We start from the raw sequence: 12,538 nt of genomic DNA on the forward strand, positions 1-12,538 counted from the left end.
TCCATTCTGAGTTGCAGAACTTCTATGTTTTTGACTGGTGAGAAACGAAGTACACCCTCAAGAAAAATAAGTCATAAGAAAAACCACTGTATTAGGGCTACCTGCAAGAGAAGAGGAAATCTTATAAAATTAAGACACAAAGAGAGAACTCTTTATACAGTACTTCCTGTAAATTGGCAGTATCTCCCGATGATGCATCCAAACTGTCCAACAAAGCTTTCCTCAAATAATCCCCTCACCACTTCTCCTTCACTTGTGGCATGTCACATCGAGGGCACAAGGGCACTGGGGCAATAAAAAGCCTACTGAAAGCACTGTACAAGTGTTTACGTTTGCCCACCTCTGTAGATTCTCTAGGATCATTTCCAAAATGCCACAATTTCCTCACAAAAACGCTATTGGCAGCCTGTTATGCCACAGCCAATATTCCTATCTGCCACCTGTAGATCTAGTTCTAACCTCAGTCAAGCTTCCTGGCAATTTAATAAATCTCTGGGGAGTTCAGCCTTTTCATTTTTACTATCCTACTCCTTCACTACCTTCCTTAGAACAGGTACAGTATCTAGTACTAAATTTGAAGACAGAAACTCCATTTAACTACAAAAGCCTAAATCACATAACTACTAAATCTGTTTTGCACAATCAAACCCATCACACCCCACCCAAAATCACCAACACAACATTTTGAACATGTTAAATTTTATTAAAAATATTTAACATCGTACAAATATTCCAATACAGTTATGGTACATGAACACTGTACCAAAAGCATGATTTTTATTAAACTGATGATTAAATGGAAAAGGTCTTGCAAATGTCCCTATTTTGGTATTTCTTATGTTACTATATCCATATCAGCAATTTATGTTTGCAGGAGCCTTCAGTCCAATTATAGAAATAGTCTTAGAACATAGTACCTAACATTATAATGGGATTCACTAAGTACAAGTCTACCTACATTATCGAAGAGGCTAGAGAAGTCCCTTTTGCCCAACCCTCATATGTGAGAAATCAAGAAAAGCAATGTTCATGGGATCCTGACAAATCTACTATATAAAGTGAGAGCCCTTATTTAAATTTGAGCAATTTAAGTTTTTCCCCAGAATGTCTCCTTTGTTGGTTCCACAAAATGTATTTTGTTTTTAGTGTTTAAAGTCAACAAACTGGCATTGCATTTTCCTTAACTTACATAAACTCATCAGAATTACATGAATATTCCTACTGCTTACCTTAAAACTTCCTAAGGAGCATGCTATTTAGTGCTAAGTTTTATACCCTGATCCTTTCTGTCACTGACACATGCATAAAATGTTACCTTAACACAACCCTGCAATCACTACAATTCTTAAAAGTATTACATAATTTCATTCTAGTGTTGTACAACTAGTCTATAGCAAACTTACAAGTAAGGGTTTATATTCATGACACTGACTAGCACATTTAACATCTAGGAAAGTCTTTCTAGACTGATATTCTCAACCAATAAAGAAGATACAGTGCTGTAAGAATACTGAGAAGGTTCTTCAGGCATGAAAATCCATAATTACTTTTAATCAGTGTTTATACCATATTACAATTATTTTTTATATGGTATGGTCAGAAATGCCTAGTTACTAAATTTAATTTCAATCTATACCTTACCATCATGGAATCCCCTACAAACTATAAGATGAGGGATTTTAATCTTTAGCAATAATTTAAATATTGACTCTTAATTCTACCAATATCTGCTAATCCTATCAGCTACCCTAGCTTTCACACAAAACACAAGTTGTTCATAGGTTTATGTTTCTGCTATGTTCAAGGTCTTAATATTTCAGCTATGTAATTTCCTCTTGACCCAAAGTCATTGTCTCAACATATCTCTAAATTGAGGCCATTATTGTCAAACTGCTAAAACTTTTTAAAGTTTCATTTTACAGTGTTAAGATTACTTTGGAAGATTTTTAAAAATAGTATCTTTGGTGTTTAAGCCCTCCATTCTATCAATGTCTTCTTGTTTTCACTAAAATTAGTGTGCAATAAATATCTCTTTAAGATGCATTATATGTTAATCTATCCAACAAAATATAGAAAATATAATACTAGACTGAAATGACAGTTAAAGCAAATTTATTGTCTCTCCAAGAGACTTTTTAAGATTATAAGGTGTCTATTTTGCTCACTTAAAATATACCCTGAGTATTTCATTACTTCATACTTGCAGGCCTTTCCTGCTGATCTGCTACCAATTTAAAAGTAAGTGAAGTGTTATTATATGTTCCTATTAAGAACAAAATAATTTAATATTAAAGTCCTATTTTTCTACAAGGCTGACATAATTGCCCACTTATAGGATATGGGCATTCTCCCACACTTAATGCCCCACTACTGATAAAAAAAAAAATAGGAAAAAAAAGTTCTTACCAACAATTCCACTGGTTATCGTCCCCAGCGAACCCCACCTAGCAAGTCGACATCATGACATGTCAGGTCAGGGCAGCCTCAACCTCGCTTCCCTGATAGTCAGGTGATAAAAGGAAGGAGTTAAAACAGGAAAAGTACACTTGCAGATTTCTGGATAACATCTGAAAATGATTAAAAAAACAAAAAAACAAAACAAAACAAAACAAAACCAGAGCTTCTGGTAACCTCTAAATAAAAAAGTATATATATGTACTTTTATTTAAAGAAAAAAAACTTTTCTAGAAGGATTAACAATAATTAACTTCAAATTAAATATTATTAAATTGCTGACCAATACATTGTATATGCAATATTTTTAAAGCTTGGTGTTTGCGTTTGAAAATTAAGACCTAATCAACAAACTTCTAATATAAAAGTAAACATGTCTGGCTAATGGATTTGTTATTCTGGATTCTCCAGTCAGTCATCCAATCTACTGGTTTCCTCAGAACAACTCCACCCCTAAGTTAACAGAAGCTCCCATTCTTAGAGAAACATAAACACACTTATAAATCCAGTGTAGTCTTTCTATAAGGCTTTTTCTTAGTTGCTCACTTAAGAGATTCCACATAATAATTGTCCACATAATAATGGACTACACTAATATTAACTTTGGTTAGTTTTCTTTAAGAATATTGGTAGCTCAGTATAATAAAATTATCTTTGAAAAATCAAAATGACAAGTTTTAACATATTTAGAAGCCTTGATAATTGACAAGCAATAGCCTTATAGCAAGTATTTACTGGAAGGGTTTGGTTTTACAAATGCACAATTAATAAAACGTAGGTATGATTATATTCAAATGGGCAGGAGGCAAATGATGTAATGAGTTTCAAGAATAATATTATATGGCTTTATGCTAGGAGTGAAATTTTATGTCCCTTCTCTTTTAGAATTTAAAATATATAATTTATTTTTTTGCATGCTGACCTTTTTAAAAAGAATTCATCTCCTAAGTCAGATTTCAAAGTCAAAAGAGAGAAAAATTATCTCCTACTATCAGAAAGCATTGGGCTTTCTTATGCAGAATAACCCCAGTAACTAAAAAAACCTGAAAAACAATTATGCTGAACTCATTTTAAAAAAACTACAGAATCATAACTCATTTTCCTTATCTTTTCACCAAATAAACCTGCATTTATTAGAAATCTGGCAACTTATTAGAACTTTTTTGCTCTTAAAAATTAAAATACCTTCATATAAATACATACATTTAAGCAACTGCTATAAATGAGTGATCAAATAAAAATTAGTATTCCATTATGGGGAGGGGCATATTTGTATCGGTCTCACCAGGGTACCTACAAAGAATAGCTCTATACCTCAATATATTTCCCAACACACACTTTACTGTAACAGGCTCATAAATAAAGCCAAATCAATTAGCTTGGGGAACAAAAAAGATGGAAAGACAGGAGAGCAGGAAACCAAATTCCTTACACTCATAATTTGTACCTAATTTAAAAAAAAAAAAATGCCAATCTAGAATAAAGACCTCCCTCAACTGACATTTTTCAGGTTTATATATTACACTGTTAGATTTATTTATGTGAAAAGTTGAGCTCTGAATCTATTTTCTCTGAATGCTGCTACAGTGTTAATTTACAAGACATGAAAGAAGAAAAGCTCTTGAGTTTTAATGTTTATAGGATTATGCTTTACAATTTAAAATAGCCACAAAACCTATAAACCAAATATTAGAGGGTACCTCTGCAAATATATTTTTAATTAGTGAAAAGGACAGAGGAGGAGGTGGCCACTTTAAAATTCAAAATATAATTTGCAATTAAAGGAAAGGATTTTGACATGGAACCCAAGTTTTAATCTTATGTTTTTGCGAGGGTTTGTTTTCTCAGAATCATTTCTATCCCCATTCTTAGCATTCTTTATGACAACTTTGTAGCTTGTAACACCTAATTAAGAAATACAAACAACTCAAATTTTATTTGTAGATTTTGTTCTTTCCAGGAAAAAAATCAGGGTTTTACTTAAGTCTAATTAGATGTATAGTTACAACTTCAAATTGTACTTTCAAAGTTTAAAAGCAGCATTTAAAGAATGTTTGGTGTCTTTACTTGCATACATGGGCATAAGAAAAACAACTGGATCTGTCTTACCAAAGAAATACCCATGTTAACTCAAAACTATCATACAACAGACCATAATTCCTTTATCAGTTTCCAAAAAACTAAAATATCAATAAGGTCTGTTAAATGACTATACTGTGTAATGAGTGTACTTTGAAAAAGAAATGAAATATATTGACTTTCATCAGTAAATAGTAATCTTAAATTGAAATGAAAAGAAGCCATGAAACCCAATATGATCTAGCCAAGATTACACGGAATTAAGTGGCTTATGATTTTGAAATCTAATATTCCTATCACAAAGACACCAAACAGGAACAAAACACAGAATAATGGTGTATCCATTTTAATTATTCCCCAATGGCTTCTGATATTTTTATCATTATAAAAACATTTGAGAACCACGTAAGAATAAGATGGAGGGGAAAACTTAATAGTAATTTGAAAGTGATTCACTTTTCTGTACCGTAAAGCTTAGATTCTTTTGTTCCTCTCATTCTCAAGCAAAAAAGTCATTAGAATAAATCAGAATTTCTAAAGGAAATAGGGAAATAGATGTTATGTCTTGGCCAACAAAAAATTTGGGCATCAGGGATAGCAGATAAATAAAAATAAACGAAGTGTTAACAGAAAGTCAAAGGTATTACTACTGGATATTTTTAAGCCTCTCTTACAAGGCATGAATGTTTCTCAAAGCAAATTTACATAGTAATAGGAAATTATATTCCTAAACCAGTAACTGAAATGGTAGTCACGATCATTTTCACTAAAACTAAAGTCCGCAGTGCAATTGACGCCACAGTACTAACAATTTTCCCTGTATGTACATTCACTTATCCAGCAAATAAGGTCTTCAGTCACAAATTATCCCTTATAAAGAATGTGGGTCAAAATAAATTGCAGTCTGCTTTCCCAGCCACATTTTATTTGTTTTAATGCAAATTATCCAATGCCTGCAAGAATGCTCAAAAGTCTATGAACCTGTTTTTTTTTTTTTAATAAAAGATAAAATTTCAAAATTAGAAGAGACTATGAGAGAACACCAATCAATGAAAGTGCTAATTGGAATAAATACTTGAATTTAGACTAATCCTCAGTCTAATATCCACAACACATGTTGGAATAAACAAGAAATTTTGCATGAATTTGATCACTCACATAGGCAGTTATACTTTGAAAACAATATTCCTTGCAAGGATTACGAATAAAATAATGTTTTAGGACACAATTGAATTTGAAATAGGTAATGTTTTGAATAGATTTTTTAGTTTTATTGAAATCTTACATGAACAAGAAATTGGAAATACAATCACATCAAAGAACAAATTGTCACGGCTTTTGACGTTTAAGCCAAACAAATTTTGTAGGGCAGATTTCAAAAAGGTGTGAAGTTATAACAATTTAAAAACACAGTTAACCTACTTCTAGGAATGCAAAACATACAATCATAGGTTATTTTCAATACAAGAAAACTTAAATTTGTTTGCTTTAATTTCTTAAAACTACTAAGACAAAGCACTAGCTTGTATTTTTATTTACAGCATACTCCATACTCCTATGTAATCTATCCCAAATCCAAAAAAATGAAACTGTCCAAAACCAAAGGTTCTGCAAAATCATGATTTAACAGTGTGCCCAGCTTGTTTTGAAGCTAAAATGAAGCCTGAAACGATAAAAGCATTGTAATCCCCAGAATAAGGGAACTCTGCAAGCCCAATAATGTCCAAGAGCATTTATGAAAAGAGGAAAAATAAAAAGACTTGAGTATATACACAATAGTGATTTCTTCAGCCCAATACAAATGGCAGCAAAATGCTACTTAAAGATGAAACAGTTAAGCCAATTTTTTTTTTTGAAGAATGTAGATCTAGAGCCAATCGTATCTTGCCAGTATCATTTTCAAGCCCTTACTTGTCTACTTCCACTGTTGCCCATAAGTATCCTGATAAAATTCCTGGTTGTCATTATTGTAACCATAGTTACCAGAATAGTCACCACCTTGCTGAAGCGGCTGCTGAGCGATGGGTTGGGAACCCCAGTTCTGTTGGTTGTTGGTCTGACGACGCTTGGAATCAGGCTGGTTGTACCCATCTGCCTTTCTCTTGCCTCCTACATTGCCCCCACGATTGCCCCGAGATCCACGGGAACCACGGCCTCTCTGCTGTTGAGCAGGACCCCCTCTGCCACCCCTAGAGCCTCTTGGTGGTCCCAAAGGTGCCCCCCTCTGTGAATAGCCAGCTCTACCTCTTGGAGGTGGTGCTCCCCTCCCCCTTGGTGGTGGTGGAGCACCTCGCCCTCCCCTTCCTCCTCCTCTTCCTCTTACTGCATAGCCATCATCATAGCCGTAGTAGGGATCTTCATAGCCTCCACGATAGTCGTGATAATCATAACCATAGTAATCATCATAGTAATCTTCATAGCCGTAGTAATCTGGAGGGTAGCCATATCCACCTCTCCCCCCACCACGACCCCGACCTCTAATTGGAGGTGGCATGCGAGGAGGAGGGTGGTAGTAATAATCTTCATACCTAGCAAAGTAGAGAAGGGAGAAAAGAAAAAACAAATCAGTTTGCTTCAAGACTCTGATTTTGTTTTATTAATCTGATCTCCATTATCACGTTATTCCTTGTCCAAAGATATATCTACTAAAATGTAGACTCACGCAGTGCTTCTGGAGGCCTGTCTAGCAGCTTGGCGCTCTTTCCTTTTCTTGTCTGGTGGCTTGGCTAAGACTATTTCAATTTCTTCCCCTTCTATTTCTTTGCCATTCATTTCATCCATAGCCTATAAAAAATTAGAAAAATTATTTTACAACGATATAAAACTGTATTTTGTTTTATATAGTATGTAAGCTATTATACTTGTGTAATTTAATACACTTAACAATTTACTTCACAATTATTTTAAATGGCAAAAGGTGAATCTAGCCAGAAAGTTAAACACAAACACACAAAGAAAATACGTTTCCCTTGACCTTATCTTTTTATACATAAATTACATTTAGAACAAAACCGACCACCTGATATTATATTTTAAAAGGTAAAAGGGCTGCCACCTATTGCTGCTCCTTAATTCCAAATAACTCCTTAAAAGATAAGCCATACCAAAGAAGCAAATCCATACCGGGGAAAAATGCCAGTATTAATACGAGCCAGACAAAGATTAACTTCTCAGGATTAGAATTTTAAAATAAACATGTAGCATACAACATACAGGTCTTCCACTGTTCTTATACGACAATTTCAAGGATTTGAAGCACAAATGAGGTTACTGAGTGAGATTATCTGTAAAATTCAAGAAGATACTAACACAAAAAAGCCTAGGTTTCCCTCACAATGCTTAACCCAAAATGTACTTTGCTTGAACAGTTAAAAGTACAGAGCCAGAAAAGGCCTGGACTAATGAAGACTCAAGCAATTATGTAGAAAGCAGTAATCAAACATTCCATGTTCTAGCCCTTTGTTCACGTTGTTCCACCTAACAACCTCTGCCATACATCAAAAGGTTCAGGTACTCAGTAACAAAATGTCACCTCCTCATGATATTTTATTTTTTGTTTCCCTATACCTTTCCCCACTCTGGGCACACATAAAAAAATGTTCTATTGGAGCTATCAGTGATTTATAAGTATCTAGACAAAAACGAAACTAGTCCTCAAGACTGCAATTTTCCCTTTTACCACCTCAGCTTTGCGTTGCTTCAGTTAAAGCAACTAAACAAGTTTACAAAAGCTTCCTGGCATAAATTAAAAAATGAAACATCTACCCTCTGCCCTGACCATCCTGGTGACTCCCAGTTCCTGGACTAGATATTTTATAATTTCATAGGCTTCTTTGGCAAACCATCCTATAAATATTTTCAATCAGGACAACCAGTTATTTGAAACCAGTCGAGTCAGGAGGAATATTTAGACAGCATAAAATTATTAGTTATCTGCATTCTATACCAGTGAAATTTCAGAAGCCACAAATGAACGGATAAGAGTATAACAGCATAACAGATAAGACTCCATACTTCAAAGCCAGATTATTACTGAGTTTGTGATCTTGGACAAGTTATGAATTTTATGAACAATACTGCCTCATTAATTAGCTACCATCAATGAGCAAGCCAATTAATTATAAACCAATCAGGGATTCTATAAAGCCTGTTTTAAAAGCAGTAGCCTGGGCAAAAAACAAAACCAAAAAATGCTCAGATTAGAGATGGCAGTATCCCACCGACCAAACATGCAGAAAAAGAACCATGCCTGTGTCACTAAGCATTCTGGATCTATCTTCCTAATAACATAAATAAGATTTTAGTAGTGTTTTGTCTTGCTCCCACCCCCCCAAGGAAGGAGAGATGAATAAAAAAAAGAAACTGAAAATTTCACCCATTAAAGATAGTCCTAAACCATTGTCGATAGAAAGCAGGTTTTGTGTTCCAGATACCATATGAAAATACTTTCTTCAAACTTTTCATTATCATCAAAGACTAAATCAACTATTATACACAAGTGATATCTCTAACAATTACCGAAATCAGTAAAACATAGTGAATGCTATTTTAACTCTAAAATGATTAAATAAAGGTAAAACTAATCATACCCTCAAAATCTATCTACTCAATTAAACATGGTATACTGTATGAGTCATGTACACCACTCAGTTTCCTTCATAGGTACACAAACTGAGGTCAACTAAGTAGTTATAATGCATTCATTACCTATTCAGTGTTTACAGCAGCTAATTTTTATACCTTGTAATACTTCCAAGGCATCATGCTATCGAATCTTACAAAACAATACAGAGATTAAAAATAACTTGCCTAAGATCACAAACTCAGTAATAACCTGGCTTTGAAATATGGAGTCTTATCTGTTACATACTATTACCACTTTACAGAGATTAAATAGAAAGAGTTCAGCAAAAGCTGACAACCAATATTGTTTCAGTTTTTAAAGTTACTTTGTGTTTGGCAAGTTTCAAAAACAAAATTCAAATATCAAGAACCAAAATTTCAAAATTCCTACCTTAACAGCTGCTCCTCTGTCTTCAAAATGAACAAATGCATAATCTTTCAACTTCTTTACTCTTTCGAGTTTTCCAAATTCAGAAAATGACTTTTCCAATATTTCTTCTGTCACCGTAGTAGCCAAGTTTCTCACAAACAAAACTTTTACCTAGTAAGCAACAAATAAACAAAACCGTCATTGGCTACTTAATTTTACCTGAAAAGTGTTTCTTCCTGTCTTCATAGCATAGCTTTTCTCCTCTAAAACATTAAGTGCTAAAAGTGTTGTTACAGGTAGTAAGAGAAATTGCTAGGAAAATGACACTGATATCAGTCACCAATTTACAAAAATTATTGGTTCCTGCCTTCTCCTATGTTGTCATTAAAGCACCTAACACTGAGTAGAACCTTCAAGGAACCAACACATAATTATTATTACCAAGTTAATCAACAAAAAGTCCCTTTCAAAACAAGTTTTTCTGTTTCTTTCCTCTAAAACTGAGTAACTTTCAAAAGTTCATATGAAAAAATAAATAAGCAAGAATAACCAGGAAAAAAAAGAGTGAAATTTAGAGGCTGGCCCTACCAAATATAAACAAACTATAATGCTTAAATCATTAAATCAGGTAGTGTTAAATTAGAAAAAAAGGAGAAAAGCTGGTCCATGCCTTACACTATACACAAGGATAAACTCCAAATAGATTGAAAATTTAAATAATAAAAGGGTGGAGGGAGGACTGTGAAATTTTAGAACAAGAATGATTCCTTTATATAACACTGGAGTGGGGATGACCTTATGACTTAAAATCTAGGAGCCATAAGAATGTTATACTCAACTACTAAAAATAAATGACTTCTATATGGCAAAAAAATACTATAAGCAAAGACAATAAATATGGATGAAAAATTTGCAACATGTATCACAAACAGCTAATCTCTCTTTTATATCAGAGCACCAGAAAATAACAAAAAGCTCAACAACTGAATAGAAAAATAGGCAAAATTCCTGAATACATGGTTCATACACAGAAACACATATGGCTCTTAAAATATATTTAAAGTTCAAACCATTCATAGTAAGAGAAGCAAATCATTAATCATTAATGGCACTGAGACATTTGTTATCAGGCTGGCAAAATTCAAAAGTTTGATTATACACTATTTTGTCAAGAATGAGGAAAATAATTCTCTTGTATTTTGCTGGTAGGAATGTAAAATAGTGTATCTCCTACAGAAAGGAATATGGCAGTATCTTAACAATTACAGATATATCTACCCTTTGGCCCACAATTCTACCCCTAAGAATCTATCCTACAGATATATCTCCACTTGTATCAACTAACATAAGCTTATTCCTTCCAGCACTGTAAGAGCAAAAGATTAGAAACAATATCCAGCTGGTTAAATACACTATAGTACCTCCACAGAATAGACTACTATGTAGTCATAAAAAATGAAGAAGAGGGCTGGGCGCGGTGGCTCACGCCTGTAATCCCAGCACTTTGGGAGGCCGAGGTGGGCAGATCACCTGAGGTTGGGAGTTCAAGACCAGCCTGGCCAGCATGGTGAAACCCTGTCTCTACTAAAAATACAAAAATTAGCCGGGCGTGGTAGGAGGCACCTATAACCCCAGCTACTCGGGAAGCTGAGGCAGGAGAATCACTTGAACCCGGGAGGCAGAGGCTGCAGTGAGCCAAGATTACACCACTGCACTCCAGCCTGGGTGACAGAGCAAGGCTCCGTCTCAAAAAAAAAAAAAAAAAAAAAAAAAACAAAAACCCAAAAAATGAAGAGGAGCTCTATGAGTTGTAGGATAGGACAACTTACAGTCAATGTGATAAGCAAGTACTGTGCCATAGTTTAGTTGGCAGTGTTTTTTAACTATTTAGTAGTACATATAGTAATGATGTATTTCCTCAGAGCTGATGAAACAGGATGGTGAATAAACAAAAGGTAGATCAGTGGATATGGTAGGCTACCAACATTACTACCACTCATCTAAGAATTAAGGAAGTATATCCATATTTGCCGAAGGAAATACTAAAAGGAAACCAGCAACTATTAAAACTGGATGCCTTATAGGAGACAAAGGGGATTTGGTAGACACAGGGATAGGGGTAGAAAGGAAATTTCTTTGTCTATACTTTTCTATATAACTTTTGAACTAAGAAAACATAGTACCTATCCAAATAAAAAACTAACATATTGAACAAATTGTTGCTTCAGATAAAGGGCTATCTAATAAGAAGATACTAATTTAAGGAGGAAAAAAACTAACATTTTCCACAAACGCTCCATCCCCTTTATTATTCTCAATTTGTCATACTAAGGTCCAGCCTCTATGTTACACAGACTCCCACTGGTTTAGTTGCTTTTTAAAAAAAATTCAACATGGACTTTTCTATGATGAAACGATAACATACTATGTGAAAATTACTTACTGAAATTGTGTTTAAAATGTTCAACAGGAAAAAGGGTCCCTTTAAGAGACATATATTTAGGCTTTTAGGTTATGGTACATTGTAAAACTGACCCAACTTGGCAAAAAAAATCTTCAGTGAATTGTAAATTGATAGTGTGAATAACAGAAGCTTTACTCAAATGGATAAACTTTTCTTTTCAATTAGGAAACAATAAAGGAGCTGGATGGGGTTGCAAGCACCCGGGAGGCTGAAGCAGGAGGGACGCTTAAGCCCAGGAGTTCAAGGCTGCAGTGTGCTATGACTGCACATGTGGGCAGCTACTGCACTCCAGCCTGGGCAACATGAGACCCCATCTTTTAAAAAAAAGAAACAATAAAGGGCTCCATAATATTTAATCCTAAGTTTATAGAGACCTCCTTTTCATTCTGAAACCTGTTTTAGATCTAGGAAAAAGGAGTTACCAGAATGAAATCTTGAAGTTTTCTAACCCTAAAAAAAGATTAGGATGAACTTCCATCTGAGCAGTTACTAAAGGTTATGTGAGAAGTGGCTGGTAAGCAAATTACAAGCTATACTTTTGGTTTTCA

The 12,538-nt window shown here is 34.2% G+C and overlaps 1 protein-coding gene across 23 annotated transcripts in view; it reads right to left on the minus strand.

Annotated features, from left to right (window-relative positions):
* Window positions 1-682: 682 nt before the first annotated feature.
* The window catches only part of HNRNPR (heterogeneous nuclear ribonucleoprotein R), a 39,597-nt gene continuing 27,741 nt past the window's right edge, over window positions 683-12,538 (minus strand). For all 23 annotated transcript variants that reach the window (NM_001297622.2, XM_011540476.4, NM_001297621.2 and 20 more), the window contains 3 exons: window positions 9,548-9,697; window positions 7,196-7,317; window positions 683-7,061 (listed from right to left, as the gene is read on the minus strand). In NM_001297622.2, the coding sequence (NP_001284551.1) occupies window positions 6,449-7,061; window positions 7,196-7,317; window positions 9,548-9,697 (885 nt within the window). In that variant the 3' untranslated portion in view covers window positions 683-6,448. The remainder of the gene's footprint in view (window positions 7,062-7,195; window positions 7,318-9,547; window positions 9,698-12,538) is intronic.

This window comes from Homo sapiens, chromosome 1 (genome assembly GCF_000001405.40).
Source record: "Homo sapiens chromosome 1, GRCh38.p14 Primary Assembly".
Classification (NCBI taxonomy): domain Eukaryota; kingdom Metazoa; phylum Chordata; class Mammalia; order Primates; family Hominidae; genus Homo; species Homo sapiens.